Genomic DNA, 20,585 nt, shown 5'->3' on the forward strand with positions numbered 1-20,585 from the left:
AATAATCCTAGCAGAAGCTGTTTACTGCTGACGCGCCTCCCACTTCCCAGATACTGACACCGGCTCAGGGCGGATCCAGCCTTTTCCGCTCTTCCCTCCCTCCACCCCCTCCTTTCCCTACAACTACTCTCAAAGGAAAAGGGTTGGATGTCCCATTTGGGTGAAAACAAAGTGGCATAAAAGCAAATGATCACCTTTGATAGCCACATATTAGAATTTTCCGAGGGTATTTTTAAATTACAACGATTCTAATGGGCAGCTGGGCTGAGAATCATCAGATTTGAAGGTCTGGTTTCACATGGCTCTTGGGCTGAGAAGACCGGATTTTCCCCCCCCAGCATTTCCTGTATGTCCGAGAATTTCGATCCTAAGGTTAGAATTGCCTTATGGGCCTTGGAATCCTTTTTATTCACTGACCAAATTGCCTTTGATTCCAGCTCCCAATCGGTGTGTGACCTTGGCCTAGGGCTTAATCTCTTCCTACCTCCATCTCTTCCTTGTATGCTTTTGCTCACCTTGAAATGAAAAGAACCTGGCTCAGCAAGTGTAGATTCTGAAATCAGAAAACAGGCTGAATAAGAGAGATGGTTTATTAGGCACTACTGTGTGCCAGGCACATTTCATGAGCTTCCAGTATGTTAATTCATTTAATCCAACAATCTAAGAGATAGGTTTTATCCTTATTCCGAATTTTGAGATGAGCAAACTAAGAAACAGCTTAAAGAACTTAAGTTGTAAGGCCAGGAAAACAGTACTTATAACAGCTGACTATTCTATAACCACACCTCCTTAAGAGATTATTGTCAGAAAAATAGAAAGAGTAAAACATCCATACATAATGGGTAAACTTTGTCCACATACCAGAATGTTACTAATGGCTTTCTAACCTCTGAAGAATTTAAGGGAAGGAGGAAAGGTAATTTTCCCCAGGGAATCTACACGAAGAGGTAAATCTTGACAATGTATTAATACTGTAAACCCAGGGAAAAAAAGCCAGTACAATTTTTATTTAGGGTGTGGCAAATAAAACAAAGGGACACGTGAAAACATGGCTCAGTAAAGAGCTACAAGACTTGGTGCAACTGACTTATTGTGGTGAGTGAGAAAAGGAGAGAGAGAAAACTTGAATTTCAATTCTTCTCTCTGGGCTCCAATAACAAGATTTTGTATTCGGTCTATTTAGTAGTGAATGATACATTGTGTTAAGTTTGTTAACCTAGAGGCTTTCATCTTAAGCAGTACTTAAGATGTAGACCCCCTCTTATTCAAATACTGATAATCAGCATAGAACTTGGCATACAAGAGACACTTGGCTGTTGGGCATTGAGAAAATGTTGAACTGAATGAATCAATGACTTAGGCAGCCAGGAAGCACTTTGTTGTAGAGAGTTGGTTTATTACTAAGGAAGACATTAAGTATTAAATATTAGACTAATAGGTTGCTAATAGTGTTTTCTCTTTCCAATAGAAAATGTCTTCTGAGGCTGATCTGGTGTCTCACATCTGTAATCCCAGCACTTGGGGAGGCTGAGGTGGGTAGATCACCTGAGGTCAGGAGTTTGAGACCAGCCTGGCCAACATGGCGAAACCCCATCTCTAATAAAACTACACAAATTAGTCAGGTGTGGCGGTGTTCACCTGTAGGCGCCTGTAGTCCCAGCTACTCAGGAGACTGAGGCAGAAGAATCACTTGAACCCCGGGAGGTGGAGGTTGTAGTGAGCCAAGATCGTGCCACTGCACTCCAGCCTGGGCGACAAAGTGAAACTCCGTCTCAAAAAAAAACCAACCCCATCTCTACTAAAAAATACAAAAATTAGCTGGGCATGCTAGTGCACGCCTGTAGTCCCAGCTACTCGGGAGGCTGAGGCAAGAGAATCACTTGAATATAGGAGGGGGAGGTTGCAGTGAGAGTGAGACTCTCAAAAAAAAACAACAAAACAAAAAGTAACAAGAAAAAAGAAACTATATTCCAAAAATCCAAATTTCACTGGCAGTTTGTTCTGGGAGCTTCAGACACATAGAAGGTGTCAGTTAACCAGTTCTTACCTAAGAGGTACTGCTAAGAGCCTAGTCCCTAAGCAAAGGGAGCTTCAGAGAAACACAGAAGGTGCCAGTTAACCAGTTCTTACCTAAGAGGTACTGCTAAGAGCCTAGTCCCTAAGCAAAGGACATTCCTCGTAGCTCTGTCCTGTCTCCTCATCTCCAAAATACTTTACCTTCTACTTTGAAATGCCCACTATTATATTCAAAAGCCCTAGTTACTTCCAGGGAAAATTATCTATTGAGCAATGAATTTCGGTAGCTTCAGTTGGATTCCAACTCTTGAGCAAGTTTTCATCTCCCTTGCCTGAATGGCCCTGGGGAGGACTATTTAAATTGGGGCGAGTGGATGAGGATGCTAAACCTAGAGGTCTCCCAATTACCAAAGGCACCTGGGCACCAGGGACTAAAGTTTGTCTCAGGAATTTACTGAGATATGAGGCTGAGATAAAATCATTTTTTGGTACATAAGGTATCTTGAACAAAGCAGATCAGTTTAACACAAAATCAACAATCGTAATTTCCCTTTTTAAATTTCCAAATCTATGTAGCAATATCCTTTCCTTTAATTCATTCATCATCTCTATTCACTTTTTGTATTCTGTAAATCATTTGAACTTTTATAAGAATTATATTTTCCCCTTGAGGTCACAAAAAAGAAAGTATTAGAAATTTTATAACCAATTTTTAAAAAATTATATTTTAAGGTTAAATACAAACCTTCTAAAGGTTTGTCATCTGTTGATCCTAAATTATAATTATAAATTTATATATTCCTGTTGAATATAATGCATGTGTGTTACAAGATTATTAGCAATTTGAGAATTTCCCGTGCATATTGGAGATGAGCAAATGGAATAAGTGCTCATGTGTAGCGACAGGATTCTCTATTTTATTTCAATACTTAATATTGTACCAAACCAAGTAAGAGGAGCATCATGAGAAAATGTACTAAAGGACAGTCATTACCTATATTTACACCTAGAAAAGAAAACTATATTATTGATAAACTGATAAATCTATTTTATGTATTTATTTATTATTTTGCTCTGTCATCCAGGCTGGAGTGTACTGGTGCGATTTCCACTCATTGCAACCTCCTGCTCCCAGGTTCAAGCAATTCTACCTCAGCCTCCCTAGTAACTGGGACTACAGGCATGCACCACCACACCCAGCTAATTTTTATATTTATAGTAGAGACAGGGTTTCACCATGTTGGCCAGCCTGGTCTCAAACTCCTGACCTCAGGTGATATGCCCACCTCAGCCTCTCAAATGCTAGGATTACAGGTATGAGCCACCGCGCCCAGTCTGATAAATCTATATTAAAAAGAATAAATATAACCATTGCATCTTCAACAGAAATTGGAATATGGCATGTAGATTTCAAAATAAAATGAATTCTCTGGCATTGAATTACTGTACTCATGTTGAAGAAATGTCAGAACTTCATTGGATGTTATTATATTACAGTTGTTTGTTTGAGTTGTAGTTTGGGCAGAGTAAAGGAGCCAACATGTCTTAGGATTTAGAACTTGTGCACATTGCCTACAGTTGAAAGAAGAAAGCATGCTAAATTCCAGCCTCTTTGGTATGTGGTTGGGACGTAAAGTTTTACCACATCCTTCATTGTCTTAGCCTACTCAGGCTGCCATAACAAAATACCAGAGACTGGATGGCTTAAACAACAGAATCTTTTTTTCCATATCTAAGAGGCTTGGAACAGAAATTCATTTTCTCACAGTTTTGGAGCCTGGAAGTTTAAGATCAAGGTGCCAACATAGTTTATGGTGAGAATCTGTTCCTGGCTAACAGATGGCTGCCATCTCACTGTGTGTTTGTATGGTGTTTCCTTGGTGCCTGCGTGGAGAGAGAGCTCTAAGTGTCTCATCTTCTGTAAGGACACCAGCCCCAATGGGATTAGGGCCCTATCCTGTGATCTTTAGTTTTATGTACCCCCTAAAGGCTCTATGTCCAAATGCAGTCACACTGGGGTTTAGGGTTTTAATAAATGAATTTTGGGGGACACAGTTTAGTCCATAACATTCTGTCCTTGACCTGCCAAAATGTATGTCCTTCTCCCATACAAGATAAATTTATTCCATCCCAGCCGGGCATGGTGGCTCACACGTGTAATCCCAGCACTTTGGGAAGCCAAGGCAGGCGGATCAGAAGGTCAAGAGATCGAGACCATTCTGGCTAACACGGTGAAACCCCATCTCTACTAAAATAAAAAAAAAATTAGCCAGGCGTGGTGGCGGGCGCCTGTAGTCCCAGCTACTCTGGAGGCTGAGACATGAGAATGGCATAAACCCGGGAGGCAGAGCTTGCAGTGAGCCAAGATGGTGCCACTGCACTCCAGCCTGGGCGACAGAGCTAGACTCCGTCTCAAAAAAAAAAAAAAAATTATTCCATCCCAACAGCCCCCTGAAAGTCTTAACTCATTCTAGCATCAATTCTAAAGTTCAAAGTGTCATCTAAAAAATCATCTAAATCAGGTTACGGGTGAGGCTCAATGTGTGATTCATCCAGAGACAAAATTCCTTTCCAGCTTTGAACGTGTGAAACCAGAAATGTTACATGCTTCTAAGGTACAATGGTGAAACAGGCATAATAGACATTCCCATTAGAAAATGGAGAAATAGGAAAGAAGGAAGGTGTAATGTGTCCTAATCAAGTCCAAAACCTGGCAAGGCAAATTCTGTTAGGTCTTAAGAAAAACCCTCTTTGGCTTGATGCCCTGATTTCCAGGCCCAGTGGTGTCTCAGTGTCACCTCTGGCTCTGTAGTTGGCCTACTCCATCTGCCCTGCCTGAAGTCTCGGTCTTTCAGTTTGGTGGGGTCCCACCCAGGCAGCCATCTGTGAGAGACTCCCACACAGTTCTGCAGGGCATCTTTGAAACAGGTAGAGTCAGCCTTGACTACATGTTCCCACCCCCACCCTATCCCATCTGTACTCTCTGAGTCTGACATCAAAGTGGCAGCCCTGGCGGCTCCTGCCTGTAATCCCAGCACTTTGGGAGGCCAATGAGAATGGATCACTGGAGGTCAGGAGTTCCAAACTAGCCTGGCCAACATAGTGAAACCCCATCTCTACTAAAAATACAAAAATTAGCTGGGCAAGTGGTGGCAGGAGCGCTACTCGGGAGGGTACAGATTTAGAGCCTGTAATCCCAGCTACTTGGGAGTCTAAGGCAAGAGAATCCCTTGAACCTGGGAGGTGGAGATTGCAGTGAGCTGAGATCACACCATTGCCCTACAGCCTGGGTGACAGTGAGACTGCCTCAAGAAAAAACAAAAGAGTCAGCCCTAGTGATCTTGTAAGTTGCCTTTGGTGGGTCAGTCTTTCCTTTTCTTAAAGAATAGTACACATTGACAGCCAGGTAGCTCTATGATCCTGTTCTATAGAATTCAAAAAGTCGACAACCTTCCTTTGTTCCTTTCTGTTTTCTCTGCCTACGTTAGTTTAAATTGGCAGTGTCTCTGCTGGAATAATCCCATCTCTCTTCCTGGCTTCTGCTGAGATGGCTGATTAAATCCTTGGGTCACACCCATTATCTCTTTATCAAATGGTTGTTCAGGCTAGGCTCAGTGTTTCACGCCTGTAATCCCAACACTTTGGGAGACTGAGGAGGGCAGATCACTTGAGCTCAGGAGTTAGAGACCAGCCTAGGCAACATGTCAAAACCCCATCTCTATAAACAACAACAAAAAATTAGCCAGGGTGTGGTGGTGCATACATGTAGTCCCAGCTACTTAGGAGGCTGAGGTGGGAGGATTGCTTGAGCCTGAAGGCAAAGGTTGCACTGAACTGAGATTGTGCCACTGCACTCCAGCCTGGATGACATAGCCAGACCCTGTCTCAAAAAACATAAAAATAAAAATAAAACCAAGAAAAAAAAAGAAAAAGAAAACATTGTTCAACCATACCTCTTCAAGAAAAACTTTCTCAATTTTTACAATATAGATTGAGAAATCTATCCCAAATCTCCAAGTTCTGATTGTGTTTTGCTTAAAAATTCCTTCTTTATTTCGGCTCTTTCCTCTCACATTTCACTTTAAGCAGTAAGGAGGACCTAAATCACACCTTCAATACTTTGCTTAGACATCTCTTCTGGTAAATATCCAGTTTTACTGCTTATAAGTTCTTTCCAGTAAACACTACAGCGTAATTCAGCCAAGTTCTTGACACATTGTAACAAGAACAGTGATTTCTACAGTTTCCAATAACCTGTCCCTCATTTTCATCTGAGACCTCACAAGAGTTGACTTTAATGTCCATATATATATATTTTTTGTGTGTGTGTGGCGGGGGGAGTGGAGTCCTGCTCTGTATCCCAGGCTGGAGTGCAGTGGTGTGATCTTGGGTCACTGCAACCTCCACCCCCCGGGTTTAAGCGATTCTTCAGCCTCAGCCTCCCGAGTAGCTGGGACCACAGAAGCACATCACCATGCCCAGCTAATTTTTGTATTTTTAGTAGAGACAGGGTTTCGCCATATTGGCCAGGCTGGTCTCAAACTCCCGACCTCGTGATCTGTGCCCTCAGCCTCCCAAAGTGCTGAGATTACAGGCGTGAGCCACCACGCCTGGCCTAAAGTCCATATTTTAACCAGCATATTTAATATTCTATCCATGATCGTTATAAATCTAAGTTTCTATGAAAATGGAAGCTTTCTGTCCAGCTCTCTTCCTTTCTGAGCCTTTGCCAGAATTGCCTTTAATGTCCATATTTCTTTCAATAGTCCCTTCACAATTGGCTTTTTCTAGTATGAACCTCAAACTCTTCCAGCCTTTACCCATCACCAATTTCCAAAGCCACTTCCCCATGTTTAGGTATTTGTTGTTGCAGCATCCCACGCCTGGGTACCAAAACTTAGTCAGCTTGGACTGCCATAACAAAATACTACAGACTGGTGGCTTAAACGATAGACATTTATTTTCTAACAATTCTGCAGGCTGGAAATCTAAGATCCAAGTTGCCAGCATAGTCAGTTTCTGGTGAGGATCTCTTCCTGGCTTAAATTATTTCACAGACACCAGGCAGATAACCATATCCATTCTTTCCTGTATTCGTTAATAGTCAGAGCTAAAAGTGTAGGGCTCTAAATTTACACTTCAACAAATTGTTCTGTTATTAAGTATTCACCTCAAAATGACCAGACTATACTATCCTCTAAATTTTAGAAACTTGGAGCTTGGCTCTGGTCCCTAGTCTTTGTTCTGTCTCATTAATGGCTTCATCAATACTACGGTTCCAAAGACTATCTATATGCAGTAAACTTCCAATTTTACATCTCCAGCCTGACCTTTTTTCTGAAATGCAAATGTGTGTAGCCACATTTTCACTTGACATCTCCATTTAGAACTCTAATAGGTCTTTCACCCTAAACACTTCCAAGACACAGGAATAAACGTGCTCCTTAAGCCTGTTATCCCTTCCAGTTCTCCCCAGTTCAATAACTGACACTACCATTTACTCAAATCAACATTCTAAGAGTGTCACTTGCTACATTTCCTTCATCTCTACAAATCCAAAGTATCTGTGAGTCACGTCACCTACATATTCAATACATGCAATAATTCATTCTCCATACTCCTTACCATGACTTAAGGGCCCACTCAGTGACCATCTCTGGCCTCTGTTCACCTCTTCTGCTGTTCTCCTTTGCTGTTCCAGCCACGCTGGTCTCTTTTCACATCAAGCAGCTAAGCTCTGCCCATTTAAGACATTTAACTTCTTGGCCTCAATCTCTGAAATGCCTGTTTGATTTTTCTTCTGGTGAGCTCATTTTCACTCATCAGGTCCCAGCTCTGTTTCAGACAAGGCTATCTAAAATAGACCTACCTAAATGGATTAAAAATCTGAGAATATGAAATAACAAATATCAGATGACATTTTAGGAGACCCTTTATATACCTCATTTGTGTGTGTGTGTGTGTGTGTGTGTGTGTGTGTGTGTTTGGAAATGGTGATGGAGGGTGTCATTGCTAAGTGAGGAGGAAACACAAAAGCCATCTAGGAAAGGACACAGACTAGATAGGTCCAAAAGTGGTTTAAGACAGAATATATGTAAAGAGAGTTATAGAAAGAGCAATAAGTTGGGATAAAGGATTTCCAAAACATATACGGGGTTAGTAACCTCAATTTACAGGGACAAACTGCAAAACGTTAGTGAAAAGGCAAACAACATAATATAAAAGATGATTAAACGGTATTTTATATCATGTATTAAATTCATATGGCCAATACATATGAAAAACAAGAAACAAAAAACCTTCCTAGTAATTCAAAATTATGCATATTAATACAACAAAGGGATACCACTTCTTTTTTTTTTTTTTTTTTGAGACAGAGTCTTGCTCAGGTACCCAGGCTGGAGTGTAGTGGCATGATCTCAACTCACTGCAACTTCCACCCCCTGGGTTCAAGCGATTCTCCTGCCTCAGCCTCCCGAGTAGCTGGGACTACAGGCGCCTGCTACCACGCTCAGCTAACTTTTGTATTTTTATTAGAGATGGGGTTTTACCATGTTGGTTGGCCAGGATGGTCTCGGTCTCTTGACCTCGTGATCTGACGGCCTCAGCCTCCCAAAGTGCTGTGATTACAGGCGTGAACCACTGCACCTGGCCTAATTTTTGTATTATTAGTAGAGATGGGGTTTCACCATATTGGCCAGGCTGGTGTCGAACTCCTCCTGACCTCAGATGATCCACCCACTTCAGGCTCCCAAAGTGCTGGGATTACAGGCATGAGCCACTGTGCCCAGCCTGGGATACCATTTCTTACCTATGAATAGACAACCACTAAAGCCAGTATACTCAGGACTGCAAAGGATGAGGAAGAATTGCCATTGTCATATAGTTTTTCATAACTTTTCCTGACAATGTCTATTAAATTGTATTAATAGACATTTGGAAAGGGAGAGTGTCAACAATCTAGAATAAAGGCCCCACTAGGTAAGGTTACATATGTAAGGACTCTTTCAAAACTGTCACAAGAATTCAGGTACGGTGGCTCATGCCTGTAATCCTAGCATTTTGGGAGGCTGAGGCGGGTGGATCACTTGAGGTCAGGGGTTTGAGACCCGCCTGGCCAACATGGTTAAAACCTATCTCTACTAAAAATACAACGATTAGCCATGCATGGTGGCACATGCCTGTAATCCCAGCTACTCGGTAGCCTGAGGCAGGAGAATAGCTTGAACCCAAGAGGCAGAGGTTACAGTGAGCCGAGATCGCACCACTCCAGCCTGGGCAACAGAGTGAGACTCCATCTCAAAACAAAACAAAAAAACTACTCAAAACTGTAATAAGAAAAAAAAAAACCTAATTATACATGTAAAACATTTAAATAACTAAAATAAGAATACTGTTGACATAGTGAGACATCCATTTATACTATGGAATGTTATGCAGCTACCTGAAACAATAATCCGGTGAAACAAAATCACACACACAACTGATGAGAGTAAATAGAGAACCGTATGGAAGAAAACATACCACAGTAATTATCTCAGATAGCTGAAACTAAGTTGGTGCAAAAGTAATTGTGGTTCTTACCATTACTTTCACTGGCAAAAGCTGCAATTACTTTTGTACCAACCTAATAGAATGGGGTGAGGAGAGGTAAACCTTTATAAACATCTCTGTGTGAACTGTTAAAATGAGCAAGTATATTTTTTTTAAAGTATAAAGAGAGAAAAAAGTAAACTTTCTCCATTTCCCACCTCAAATTATGTTCTGTCACTCATCCTGTTTAGATTCTTTCAAATGCAGTTTGAAGTTTTATTTATGAGATTCCTTGTTGTTTGCCTCTTTCCATTAAACCTAGCTCCACAAAGTAGGGACCTGATGTATTCATTCACTGTTATATCCCAGCATCTAGCAGAGGGCCTGACACTTAGTGGGAACGCAAGTATCTGGTATATAAACCAGAGAATAGATATTTTTTTAGCCCAGAAAGCTGTTTCACTGCACAGAGTGTAATTATCTGAATTTCTATAAAAATGTCTATCTATAAATCATTGTCAATACATTACCTACTCACCTTACCCAGCTACCAGGAACACTATGAAGTTTTGAATTACACCCCATTTGTTTTCCACACTCTTACCATTTTCCCAGTTTCTGCACTGACCTCTCCAGACATCATGTGTACTGATAATTCTAAGTTGTCTAGATTGTTAATTCTTTTAAGGGCCTGTTCTCTGCTAGCTGGCATCATGCATAAAATAATTCTCTTTAATATGCTCTGGGTCTAGGGTTAATAGATGTTTGCTTAAAATCATGGAAAGAAAATGGTCACACAGCTGGTATGTGTGATCAAATTTGTGCTGTTTCATCCACTTAATGTTTACTTTGTGGTAATGGAACCTCCCAGCTTTTATTTTCCTTCCTTCCTTCCTTCCTTCCTTCCTTCCTTCCTTCCTTCCTTCCTCCCTCCCTCCCTCCCTCCCTCCCTTCCTTTCTTTCTTCACAGAGTCTAGCTCTGTTGCCCAGGCTGGAATGCAGTGGTGCGATCTCAGCTCACTGCAACCTCTGCCTCCCGGGTTCAAGCGATTCTCCTGCCTCAGCCTCCCAAGTATCTAGGATTACAGGTGCATGCTGCCACACCTGGCTAGTTTTTGTATTTTTAGTAAAGATGGAGTTTCAGATGTTGGCCAGGCTGGTCTCCAACACCAGGCCTCAAGTGATCCGCCTGCCTTGGCCTCCCAAATTGCTGGGATTAACAGGCCTCAGCCACTGTGCCCGACCCCAGCTTTTATATTCTAATGCTGAGATTATTCAGTTAACACTCTTACCTGCTAGGATAAGTTTGTTGGAGAATTTTACCTTACCTTGTACCCTTTACCTTCACATCTACCTGTACCCTGGCCCTTCACATCCTTTCCATATAATATATCTTCAGTAAATACAGGGAAAAAAACCCAGAATGATTATGTTGACAGCAAAACATGTTTGTGCAGAAACGGAGTAGTCACTATCTAAGCCACAGAGACTTAGGAGTGTATTCCTGAGTTATGTATCATTTTAACCATCACTGGATCTTAAATCCCAGTTGCTAAATTGAAGGGAGATACATGACTCTTTTTAGGGCTTTGCTCTCTGATACAGTAGCCATTAGCCACATGTGATATTTTAAATTTAAATAATTAAGTCAAAAATTCAGTTTCCTCAGTCTCACCACATTTCAGGTTGCTGGTGTCTACTGTATTGGATACACAGACATAGAACATGTCTATCATCACAGAAAATTCTATTGCATTGCACTGGGATAGGTACTTTTTGTGCCCTTGGGCTGATAAGTTCAAGTGCACTTAACTAGCTTCCTCCAAGTGGAATCAGAGGATAAATTTACCATACAAAATACAGGATACCCAATTATATTTGAATTTCAAACAGGCAACAAATAATTGCTTAAGTATGCCCCTCACTGCACACCCAAATATTACATGAGACATTCTATACATATATATATATATATATATATATATATATATATATATATATATATATATATATTTGAAATTCAGATTTAACTGGACATTTGGTATTTTTAATGTGCCAAATCTAGCAACCCTATCTGAAGAGCAAAACTGGAGTGTCTAGTCTGGATAGGTCCTTTTACACCACAGGGAGTTATTTGAGGAATTGAGAAGGGCTGTGGTACCTGTAAAGAACTAACTCATTATGAAGAAAAGGATCTGTAAGTTTTTCTGTATGTGTAAGGAAGGCCAAGAAGGTGGTTTCCAGATATATTTACTTTTTCTTCTCTCTCTCTTAGGTTGCAAAAGCTTCTCATTTCAGAGAGATGCCAGGATCCTAAGTGCCTGCCAAACTTACCAATTCTAAGGAATAAGTGGATGGATGGCATTACTGATTCCTACATTACTGATTGATTCTGCATCCGCAAATTGTTTTATTAAAAACATTCTACATCATGTGTGGGGAGATAAGGAGGATAAAATGAAGAGAAAGAATATTATTGAGGGGAAGTTCTTCTGAATACAAAATGTGTTTAATTTTTTAAATAAGTATTACATTCACAGGGTTCAAACTATTTGAAGTAAAGAGATTATATATAAAGAATCCATCCCTCAACTTACCCAGGTGGTCACTTTTCTTTTTCTTGTGTATCTGCCCAGTATTCATTCCTGCTGATATCAGTCAATAATGAATGATACGTGTTTTCTTCACTTTTTTCATTCTTGTCAGGTAGCAGACTGTGTAGACTTTTCTGCACTTGCCCTTTTCATAACAATCTATCTTGGAGAACTTTCCCTATGAGAACATACAGAGCTTCCTGTACACAGTTGCATGTACTGCATTATGCAAATGCATTATATTTTATGTAACCTGTCCACTGTTGGTAGGCACTTGAGTTGTTTTAGTCTTTTGCTATCAAACAGTTCTGGGATGATTAACCCTGATTTACTGCAAAATTGAAATTGCTCTGCTATTCTGCTGGAATGGTGGTAAGTGAACTGAAAATTCCAGTCACTCTTGGGCTAGACTCAACGTTCTTAAAAACTATGTGGCCATCACCAAATTAGTTATTTTGAACCTTAATTTCTTCACCTCTAAAATGGAGGTAATACTTACCTTAAGTGGCTATGAGAATGAAGATCATGTGTATGAATTGTTGGTGCTCTAAAGAACAGCACAAATAAAATTATTTTCAAATTTAATTTTAATTGAACTATGTGTAATTTCTTAATTTTGAAATAATTTTATTTGTAATGTGCATAATCTTATTTAATGTATAATGTATACATTGTAATAGAAACAGATTTCCCAAATTCCAGCCTGGCATGAGGTAATAAAAGGTAATGCAAAGGGAGAGGAAAGCATGTGTCATTAATTTTCTGCCTAGGACACCTCCCTGGTTAAATTGCCATTTCCTTTCTTCCTTGCATAATGATTAGGAAACACATCCTCCTGACCTGCCTGCCCTCTTTTGCCTACTTTTTCATCTGCAGTCAAGGTCTGGTTTTAAGACTGACTGTTACTTTTACAAATCTGTGTGTATTGGTGGCTAAGGGCCTGTATGGTCCACTGCTGTATTCCCAGGTCCCAGCATGGTGCCTGACGCTGCCTGGCAAATAGTAGTCACCCGAGAAATGGCTGATGAATTCATGAGGCCTACTCTGTATGGAAATTTCAATTCTGGCCCCGAATTTTCAGGAGCTGGCAAGAGAGCCACCTTAATATCATAGGCTGAGTTGGAAGAAGGGAACACCCAATTTATTCTTAAGAAGTACTTTGCCCAGGTACTGTGGCTTAGGCCAGTAATCCTAGCATTTGGGGAAGCCAAGTTGGGCAGATGGCTTGAACCCAGGATTTCGAGATCAGCCTGGACAACATGGAGAAACCCCATCTCTACAAAATATGTAAAATTTAACTGCTTGGTGGGCCTGCACTTCTGGTCCCAGCTACTCCAGGGCTAGGGTGGGAGGATTGTTTGATCCCTGGAGGTCAAGGCTGCAGTGAGCCATGATCACAGCAATGCGCTCCAGCTCTGGGCAACAGAGCGAGACCCTGTCTCAAAAAAAACAAAAATGCCTATACAATAAATCTATAAAAAGTGGGTTTTGTGTGTCTATACACACACACACACACACACACCTGCATAGACACTCAGGTGTTCTGGAAAGACACAGGAATCTGAAGCCAAAATACTTGTGATTTTTTTTCAGCTCTGCCACTCACCAAATGTCTGATGGGATTAGTTACCTGCCATCTCAGAATTTCTCTTCTGTAAAATAAGGTAATAGTACCTCCCAGAGTTATGAAAAACTATCAAATGAGATGGCAGATGAGAAAACACTATATTCCTTGTAAAACCTGACAAATATGTGCAAGATTATATAAAGACTGTCTTCTGTCCATTTTCAAATGTGGAAAAGTGAAAGCAGGACAGGATGTTGGGATTTCTGTCAGAGATTTGCTGGCTTCCACCTGCAGAAATTGAAGTAATTGGGGTTCTTACACCTAAGTACTAACTGAGTCTGGTTGCAGTTTGCCCCCATGGCTACATGAAGCTTTTAGAAGAGTCAGCATGGTAGACATGGAATGTTGAATGGTGGTGGAGTGTACCCACACACCTCCCACCAAGTCAGCTCCAGGTTCAGAAGCAGCAGCCCCAGTGGAAGGCATGCGTGTTTGTAACTCAGCTGAGCCACCTTTCAAGAAGCAGAGGCTTTCCAAACAGGGATGCCCCCTGCTTTTGGTTCAACTTGACTTCCTACCTTCAGTGAGGACATGGAGAATTCATCTAGACTGGGTACCTGAGCAAACTTGGCAGAGCAAAGAGAAATGTGGAAGGCCCTAGGTAGACAGGCCCTGTGGAAGGAAAGAATGAAAGAGGACAGAAAGAAACTCCCATTTTCTTTAGCACAGTCCCTTCAGATTAAGGATGAAGAGGCTGGGGTTCTGAATTGGTTGGCCTTAGGTAATGGTCACAAAAACAAGTCAATGGCTTTTCCACATCCGTACATTGAGATATATTTCTGCCCTTGGTATTCATTTTCTCTGACCTCCAATTAAAGATCTATGCGTCATTTTAAAGCCTTCCTTCCTTTCTACTCTGTGGTCAGCGTAACATTGGTGGTTTGAAACTGGCCATAATAGCAGCATTTACATCATGGGAACTAGCATATGTTACATCAGGGTTTTTTTGTTTTGTTTCTGGAGAGCCAGTAAACATACATCGTCACACCACTTAAATATTCTCTGCTTAAATATTCTCTGCTCCTTCCTGGTAAAGATAGCCTCATCTCTCTCTCCCCACTCCCCAACTCCATCCAGCACGTGCACATTGGATCACTCTATTGTGCTGTTTTCCTACCCAGAAGGGCCCTGTCTCAAATGACCCCTACGCTTCTGGTCTGATTTAAGTTCCATACTCTTTCCTATGAGGTGTACCCACTGCATATATTTCTATGTTGTTTCTCACCTTCCCTGTTTTCATGTCTGCTCTCCAAATTTTATGAGGAAGCCTAGAACACTCTTTTTGGAGATACTCATTCGCTTAAATATCACTTCAGTGAGGCCCTCCATTGACCATTTTCCCACTCCCAGAGGGGCAGGGAGGCCTTCTGAGAAAGTGAACATGGTCTGGTGGATAGTGATGCTGGGAACGTGAACTGTCAGCAACAGCATAGCTAGGAATGCAGTGAGCAAAGGCACTGTGAAGACACAAGCAGAGCTCTTCAACCAATGACCCCAGGGACTTTCTCTGGGTTGCCTGGCAATGAACTGGGAACAATGGCTGCTTCTTTCCCTGTGGGAGGATCAGCCAATGTTCCCAGGTGCTGGAAGGCTGGCTTTCTCAGCTGACACCCACACAGAAAATGTTTATTCTCTTTATCAAGTCTGCTCTCATGCTTTCTCTATGAAAAGGAACAGCCCGGGCTGTGTGTGGGTCCCTTTCTGGAGCACAGCCTCTCTGTGCATCAGGCTACCCCCTTCCTGGGCTCAGGGCTCTGTAGGCTGCAGGAGAACAGGCACTGTGTATCTGCAACCCTCTGCCCACTAGTTCCAGCTGGCACAAGCAACACTGTGCCTGCTGACAAGACAGGCAGAAGCCACGAGAGGAATTAAATTACCTCCGAAGGTGGTAGACAGTGAAAATGAGTGGATATAGGCTTTCATTAAAGGGCTAGGATTTAACTTCTTAATCATTATTCCAGTCACCTTGTATCTCATCTTCTCAAATGCTCTTAATGAAAGTCACAAACCAATAGCTCTCTCTGTAATTTTCCATTTATGCCCCCCTTTCTGTTGTCCATTATTTGTCCACTATCTCTCTTTCCTCTCCATTTAACATTAGCTATTTTTAAAGCAGCACTTCAGAAAAGTTTCTTTTCTGTTTTGCACTGGGTAGTGTTGAAATATGTGGAGGCCCTACTGCCACATGCCACAGATGCCCCAGTGGCAGTCAGTCATGTAGGACCTAAGAGTTGAGCTCCTGGTTTCTGGTGGGCCCACATTTGTGTCATGGTGCAGCATATGTGGACTGGTCGTCTGGCTCTGTGATCAGGAATCTAACTTTTAGCTTGGATCTAACCTTTAGTTCAGAAGCTGAGCCTCAGGTTGAGATCGATATTCCTTGTTGCCCAAATGTACTGTAGTTTGCTATGCTATCCAAACTACATGTAATTGATCCATTTCTAAGCTCATTCACGTGATTCAGTGAATACAATTCTTTCCAGGGCTGTTAGGCCAAAGGCCTCAAATCCCTATGTGGGCCTCTCCACAGGAGAGTGCACCACATGGCAGCTGACTTTCTTCCAAAACAATGAGCAAGTGAGAGGGCCCAAGAAAGAAGCCATAACCATGTGTAACCTAATGTCAAAAGTGACACAGCATCATTTTTGACATATTCTATTTGTGAGAAGCAAGTCCCTAGGTGCAGCCCACAGGAAAGGAGATAATACCAGAGGATGAATCCTCAGAGGCAGGGATCATCCTGGAGAATACCTGCCACACTGGGTAAATCGCAACCTGTGTAAAACAAGGCAAAACTGTCTTCTTGATCTGACATCCTTATAAATGGAAGTGCACCTCTGTGTTTTCTAGGGCACTTTGCTAAGTGCAAGTACAGGGTCACATGCAGGTACAGGGTCACAATCTAAAACTGCAGAAATATTTGTGGTGTTTGAGTTTCTGTTTGTTTCTATCACTTGCCCATTAACTCTCTGATGCTGCTGTATCTCACTGGAAACTACATCTGCCAGGTTTCCTTGCTCTCTAGTTTCCAGTAGATTTGTCCAATGGGTGTCACTGATGGACGATCATGATGGGGCCAGAGTATTTCTCTTCTATTTTGTTTCCTGGGGCTTCTCCAGCCTCCTTGGTACTTTGACTTTAGTCCTACCACAGAGCCTTTCTCCTGGTGGTCTCAATTCTTGCCTTACCAGCCTGCGCTCTCCCTGCTTGACTCCAGCATCACCTCTTCCCTTTGTTCCTAGAGGACAGAGGTGGCAACTTTCTGCTGCAGCTTATCTGTGGGTTGCCCTCACCCCCTCTCTTGGGTTTCTCAACTCTTTCATCACCTGTTTATCTAATTACCTCTATTTAATTCCTTCTATATGAAATCCCTAGAGTGGACTGTACTTGTACACTGACAAACAGTAGGATTGAATGAACATTGGCCTTTCCTGAGCAACTCATGTACAGAGAGCACGGTTTGGAGTGTTTGCTAGTCCTAAATGTCAGACTTGGTCCTCATGCTGCTGGAAATTTAGAGGATGGTCACTTCTTCAGGATGTACCTTCACCACTCTGGGCTTAAGTTTCTTGTTTTGTAAAGTGGGAGGATTTGTGATATCTGTGGTCCCTTAAATCTCTGAATATTAGGGACTCTAGAATTTTTCCATAAGGAAGGTTTAGGAACTGCATGCTGATTGAGAAGTGGTGGAAGCATTTTATATGAGACTAGCGTGGGACGGTGAGGAGAATAGTAAAAAATAAGAAGGAAAGGAACAGAAAACCCAAAACCCTAAATTGTCCATATTCCAGAAGGTAAGTGCCACTGGTGGACACTATGAAGAAAGCTAACATGAATCATGCCATGACTTCATAAAATAAGTACATTATCTCACAAATCGCTTCCTGTTTTATATTCCACTCCCTGCTTTCTACCTCACCCCCAAATCAAGGAAGGGTGCTTAGGAATAAAGTTCTAGCCTGGGCAACATGGCAAAACTCTGCCTCTACAAAAAATACAAAACTTAACAGGGCATGGTGGCATTCACTTGTGATCCCAGTTTCTCTGGAGGCTAAAGTGAGAGGATTACTTGAGCCCAAGGGGCGGAGGCTGAAATGAGCCGAGATCATTCCACTACGATCCAGCCTGGGCAATGGGAGTGAGACTCTGTCTCGGGGGGAAAAATAGAATAAAGTTAACAAACAGGAAAATAACATCTTGTTGGACTTGGGATAACAATAATTTACAAAGAATGGTAGAATTCGTTACTAGAAAAGTCTCATGAAGAGAGGCAGCTATCTTAGCTGTAAGACCATGGGCAATTGACATCTTTGGGCATGATTTTGTTTTCTGAAAAATGGTTTTAAGAGTATAAGGGTTATTATAAGGACTGAGTATTTGTCAAGTGCTTAGAACAGTATCTAGCACATAGTATCTACTCTATAGTAAATTTCATGAATATATTGCAATAGTCTAAATTGTCATCCACTACACTTATATTGTAACTGACATAATTTTTTTTTTTGAACATGGAGTCTTGGTCTGTCACCCAGGCTGGAGTACAGTGGCACAATCTTTGTTCACTGTAACCTCTTCCTCCTAGGTTCAAGCAATTCTTCTGCCTCAGCCTCCCTAGTAGCTGGAATTATAGGCGTGCACCACCACACCCAGCTAATTGTTTTTGTATTTTTAGTAGAGACCGGGTTTCATCATGTTGGCCAGGCTGGTCTCAAACTCCTTACCTTAGATGATCTGCCCACCTCGGTCTCCCAAAGTTCTGGGATTACAGGCATAAGCCACCGTGCCTGGCCATAACTGACAAAAATTAAACAGGTATATTATACTGAAAACATGTTCCTCCATTAGTAGTTCTAAGCAAACGTGCCTCCAAAGGCCAAGGAAACTGAGAGGCATAAGAAGGATGATGAAAAATCAAGAAAGAAAATTTTAATAGGGACTTATAAACAGAAGCCATGTCTTCCATGGCATGTAGACAACTTGGTGAATTTGCCTACCTGCCATTACCCCACCCCAAACCCCAGGGCTTATAGATCACAGGGAATTTGCCTAAGGGCAGGATTTATAGTAAGTATGTGTTTACAATAATATCAAGATTGTTTTGACTTAAGGGCAGGATTTATGGTAAGTACAGGGAAGTAGAAATCTTAGAGGCATTCCCAGAACTGGGATTATTTAGAAGTCAATACAGCAGATTAGCATCTAAGATTGAGTTACTTTAGTCTCCACACTAGAAATTCAGAGACTTCATGTAACAGCAACTATGATTAAAAAAAAAAAAAAAAAAAAGGCTGGTGATCACCTAGAAAATAGAATGATGAATTGTTCACTGTATCTTTTCCACAGAGCAGAACGCAGTACACAAGTGTCCCTGGGATAGAGGAGCCGATTGGTCAGGAGACCACTGCTTGATGAAAATGTCTTTTATTACAACTCTATGCACAGAAATTATCTTCTAATTTGTATCTTTGCCTCCAGACCAGAATGTAATGCAATAAACACATCTCTAATACATATATTTTTTTTTTTGAGACGGAGTCTTGCTCTGTCGCCCAGGCTGGAGTGCAGTGGCGCGATCTCAGCTCACCGGAAACTCTGCCTCCTGGGTTCACGCCATTCTCCTGCCTCAGCCTCCTGAGTAGCTGGGACTACAGGCTCCCGCCACCACGCCCGGCTAATTTTTTGTATTTTTAGTAGAGACGGTGTTTCACCTGGTTAGCCAGGATGGTCTCGATCTCCTGACCTCGTGATCCGCCCGCCTCAGCCTCCCAAAGTGCTAGGATTATAGGCGTCAGCCACCGCGCCCGGCTCTGATACAAATTTTTTAAAATTTTTATTTTTATTTATTTATTTATTTATTTATTTATTTATTTATTTATTTATTTATTATTTTTGAGACGGAGTCTCGCTCTGTCGCCCGGGCTGCAGTGCAGTGGCGCGATCTCGGCTCACTACAAGCTCCGCCTCCCAGGTTCACGCCATTCTCCTGCCTCAGCCTCCTGAGTAGCTGGGACTACAGGCGCCCACCACCGCGCCCAGCTAATTTTTTGTATTTTTAGTAGAGACGGGGTTTCACCGTGTTAGCCAGGATGGTCTCGATCTCCTGACCTTGTGATCCGCCCGCCTCGGCCTCCCAAAGTGCTGGGATTACAGGCGTGAGCCACCGCGCCCGGCCTTCTGATACAAATTTTTAATATGAAGTGTATCTTTCATTATAAATTGATAAAGTAATGGTATGGCTTATAAACCTATCTCATGTGAATTTAGGTTTGAATAATCATAGTAATAGATATTCTTACTATGTGCAAGACATTGTTATAAGCACTTCAAAAATATTGTCTACTCCTACCAACAATCCTACTAAAGTAGGTAATAGTTGTAACCGTTAAGTTTTTGCCAAGCTATATAAAAACTCCCCACATCTTGGTGGATAATAACAAGAAGGGTTATTTCAGGCCCAAATTCTATTTCTGTATGGATCAGCAATGGCTCTGCTCCATATTTTCTTCATAGACAGACCCAGGCTGAGAGAAACTGACATAAAGGGATCTCAATGCTCTTAAAGATTCTGCAGGAAAGTAGACACATGGTACTTCTACTCATATTTTATTGACCAAAGCAACTCACTTACAAAGACTTATGTGTAGTAGGAAAGAGTGTTCCTTACATGGAGAGGAATATAGTAAACCCATATCAATGGGCAAGGATATATAATACTCCCAAAAAGGGCAGTAAAATCATGGGAGCAATAGTACAATTTACTACATATTCTTATCTAAATTTTAGGCATGAGAAAATTGAGAAATAGAGTTTAGGAA

Source organism: Homo sapiens, chromosome 6 (assembly GCF_000001405.40).
Source record: "Homo sapiens chromosome 6, GRCh38.p14 Primary Assembly".
NCBI classification, from domain to species: Eukaryota; Metazoa; Chordata; class Mammalia; order Primates; family Hominidae; genus Homo; species Homo sapiens.